At 36.7% G+C, this 4,289-nt stretch overlaps 1 long non-coding RNA gene across 1 annotated transcript; it reads left to right on the forward strand.

The window, feature by feature from the left end:
* The first annotated feature begins 1,137 nt into the window (after window positions 1-1,137).
* Window positions 1,138-3,960, forward strand: LINC02871 (long intergenic non-protein coding RNA 2871). Its single transcript, NR_146878.1, has 4 exons — window positions 1,138-1,168; window positions 2,345-2,500; window positions 2,756-2,878; window positions 3,785-3,960. It is a non-coding gene; the product is annotated as a long intergenic non-protein coding RNA 2871 (long non-coding RNA).
* Window positions 3,961-4,289: the final 329 nt, after the last annotated feature.

The raw sequence follows: 4,289 nt of genomic DNA on the forward strand, positions 1-4,289 counted from the left end.
CAAAGCTCAAAAGGCAGGACTACCACCTCTTACTTTGTTCTCTCTTCTTTCACTTACTTTCTGTTTTAATATTAACATCTACTTTGTTATGTGATTTTTTTTTGAGTAATTAAAATATTATCTATCTATCTTCTACCCAATATTTTTGTGTATGTATGGGGGGGTGGTGTTTTTGTGTGCTTCCTTTTATGTTTTGACAAAAAATAAATAGTACATATAATTCTTAGGTTCTGTGTCATGTATCTACCATTATGTAATGCTATGAAACGACCACAAATTATCAGCTGCATGCAACAATAAGCACTTACTACTCACAGTCCAGGGATGGTTGGTTGGAAATTTCTGCTGCTTTTGGCTAGGATCGTCTGATGGTCTGGGAGCTGAGTGGCTCTTGGCTGATCTAGGCTGGCCTCAGCTAGGATAACAAGGACATTCAACTTCTAGTCAGGTAGATTAGGAATTTCCTCATGGGATTGCAGAGACCAAAAAAAGGCAGAAGCACATTTTCAGTTCTCTGATACTCCTGCTAATATTGTTTGGGTTAAAATAAGTTGCATATCTGTGCTCAGAGTCAGGGGGTTGGAAGGTTATGCTGCTCATGTTGAGACAGCACTGAAAAGTGACATGGAAAAGAGCAAGGATATGTGTAGGTGTGTGAAGAATTGGAGCCATGTTTTGCAACCATTCGACCACAAGCGTTTAAAAAATATATATTCTATTACTCCATAAGAAAAAAAGAGGACGAGGGAGAGAAACATGAGGAGGATAGAAGTAACTGGTGAGAAATGAAGAAAATTAGGATTACATGATATTAATAATTGTTGAAGCCACCTAATGGGCACATTGAAATTTCACTATCCTGTGCTCTATACTTTCATGTGTTTGAAAATTTTTCACTATATAACAATAAAATGATATATAGTCTATGTTTGTTGGCTATAAAAGTCTTTATTCAGATATATTATGTCAAAGCTGTTATTTATTCAAATCTTTTATATTTCTAGTTATATTTTTCTACTTTTTAAAAAAATTTTTTAGGTAATTGTACTAAACTCTTCCACCATAATTGTGATCTCATCTTGGGATTTGCCAAAAAACATTTATAGCATGTCTGAGAAGTCCAGAGGAAGTATATATCTCCTCTTTGCTCCAACCTTCTTGTAGCAGGGTATGTGTTGAATCAGTCTGTCCTGAAATGTGTGAGTCTTTTAAAAAACTGAATACTATTGGTCATTTTTGTTTGGAGATTTCTAAGGCAAGAAGTTTGTCTAAGTACCCTAAACCAGCTGGGCACTGGGGGCCAGTGACAGGACTAGGAAAGAGATACTCATGTCCATTTCAAAGACTTTTGCCCTATGGAAGAGGCTTCTGTTAGCTTCTGTGACCTCTGGTGAGTTGATGCTGGCATTAGCCACTGGGCTGTCTTGCTGATAAATTGGCTAAATCATTAGACATATTCCCAGAAGGGAGTATATGGTGAATGGCTCATATGGGCCCCCGGGAAGGTGGCTGCACCTCTGAGGGTCCTTTGTGCTAAGGGAGCAGAAAAGGACCTCGCTCATGTGCTGGATAAACATATTTGTCACTGTTTTCATTATTTCCCTATGTATAGTTTTAAATTTTTCATTACAAAGTCATTTATTTAAAATAGTATGTATGCACTGGCAACCAATAATTTTCCCTTGGACACAGTCCTGTGGCAAGGATCCAATGTGATAACATATCAAGTTAACAGAATATTTTCAAAATACTCAAATTTGGTCTCATAAATTACTGAAAATATTCATATTCAGTATCATTGTTGTTGAATTAGATGTAGAAATAGGTGACAGTGGCCTTTTCCTATGCCCTGAAACCTCCTTTTGCCTTATTGCCACCTTTTGATGCGATGCTGAACAGGTTGACCTCTGAATCTTGAAGAGCCCTTTGTTTTCCCTCCTGATATCATGTTGGAATTTGGAAGAACAGTGGGTCTTTTGGTTCACTGCATTCCACTGGGACCCTTCCAACTCCAGCTCATTAGAAACACCCCCGAGCCTGAGGACTAACTATGATGTCATATGTCATAGCAATGAAGTAATTATGGCCGGCCAAGGCAAAGAACAATTTTATTTTTGCTGCTTTGAGAATTTTCTCATATTGCTTCAAATGTAACTCCCACCTTTCAAGTAAAAATTATTATAAGTAGATTCCCAGGGTCAAAAGAACAAGTGGAAACTTGTTGGATGGGGTCAACCTGGAAACTGCTGAGATATTTGTATACATATTCCCTTTATCTTGCTTTGGCTCAGTTTTTTTTTGTTCCTTTCAGGTGTGCCTAATATTATACTCTGTGTTTTGAAAGGTTTGAGGGAGAAGGCTGCAAGGAGTCCTGTGGGAGGCCCTGGGGTCTTATTAGTTGAAGGAAACAAATCATCATACCTTTAATACTGGCTCCAATTTGCCCCTTTCATGAGTAGTCTTGGAGAGATAATTGCTAATCTGGAATGGACATACTTCTGTAAGTTTATATCAAATACATTTTTTCCATTAAATAATATTTTTCTGTATTCCAATTTTGAGGAAAGTAAGTTAATTTAATTTTTCTTTTTCCTCTGATATACTTTTTAATGAATAGATTGAAAATTAAGGAGTGCCATTATATATACACTACTCACTTTAGATACAATGCTTTGAAAATTAATGAGTGCCATTTTATACACACTGCTCACTTTAGATACAATGCTTTATATATCTTAACTCATCTCTCAAACAGTGATCTTGGTTGGCATTTTTCAAACTGTGATGAAGACACTTTTTATAGCCCTGTTCAGAATACAGAAGGAGACCTACTCTTCTTTGATCACAATCTAAAGACAGACAGAGGACATGTGGAAAGGTAAAGAAAGTTCCAACATTCAGTAGGGAGAATATCGTCACAAGCCTTCCCTCTTTATCTCCTTTTTAACTCTCTTTTCAGATTAGGTTTGTGAGGAGATGATTTATAAAAGGTAATTTGTTGATCTTTTTTCCCCGGAGAAAACATATATGGTTTTCATCTTAGTCTCTGCAGGGTATGTGACCCACAATATATTCAGAAACCTCCAAAAACAGTACTGCTATTTACTATTATAAATGCATAAAAATAAAAAAACTATACATAGAAAATTAATAAAAGAAAGATATGAATCTTTTCTTTCACGTCTTTAACATGGCAGTACGTAAGTATACAATAGAAGTGATATTTTCATTCTCAGTCACCCAGTTTTATATTTCAGAATAAATTTTGACTTCCTTCTCCTTTTTCCTTTTTCTTTTCTTTTCTTTTCTTTTCTTTTCTTTTCTTTTCTTTTTTCTTTTCTTTTTGATGGAGTCTTGCTTTGTTGCCCAGGCTGGAGTGCAGTGCACGATCTCTGTTCACTGTAACCTCTGCCTCCCAGGTTCAAGCAATTCTGTCTCGGCATCCCGAGTAGCTGGGATTACAGGCATCTGCCACCACGCCCAGTTAATTTTTGTATTTTTAGTAGAGATGGGCTTTCACCATATTGGTCAGGCTGGTCTTGAACTCCTGACCTCAGGTGATCCGCCCTCCTCAGCCTCCCAAAGTGCTGGGATTACAGGCGTGAGCCACCGTGCCCAGCCCTTTCTCCTTTTTCTTATACTCATACTCAAGCAAATGTTATTTTCTTCCAGAGGTAGTGTATTAATCTGATTTTGCTACAATAATACGGTGTAACAAACAACCTCAGATTCTCAGTGGCTTCCATGAACAAACATCAGTAACATATATATTTCTTGCTTATAGATCTGTCATGGATTAAATATAAACAAAAATGAAGCAAGAAACAAAACTAGTCTTTCAATGAAAAGCTGAAGATGCTGAAGAAGAAATGCAAAATCATTTCACAAGAAAAACAAAATCAGACCAGGATCACTTGGCGTACCATCCTAGCAAAATATATCTTCTTGGAGTTGCCCTGACAATGCTCCTCAAAAACTACTTTCTTCATCTTCTTGCGGGTTAAATACTGGGATTAAATCCTAGCATAAAAATTACATCTAAAATGAAACACAGCTCTTCACCATTGTTGACCTCTTTAACACCTTAATGTCTACTCAATCTGTTGTTCCTTTTAACTTCACTAGTGTATTTTTCACAACCAAAATTTTGGAATGATCTTGAGCTCCTTCATGATTTTCTTTCCTTTAACTCAACAATATCTAGAATTACCTGTACTGTCTTTCACACATAATTTCCTTCCCTGACCTGTTTTCAGAACAATCACAAGTCACTTTTTCTTCCCCTGCCT

This window comes from Homo sapiens, chromosome 20, assembly GCF_000001405.40.
Source record: "Homo sapiens chromosome 20, GRCh38.p14 Primary Assembly".
Taxonomy (NCBI): domain Eukaryota; kingdom Metazoa; phylum Chordata; class Mammalia; order Primates; family Hominidae; genus Homo; species Homo sapiens.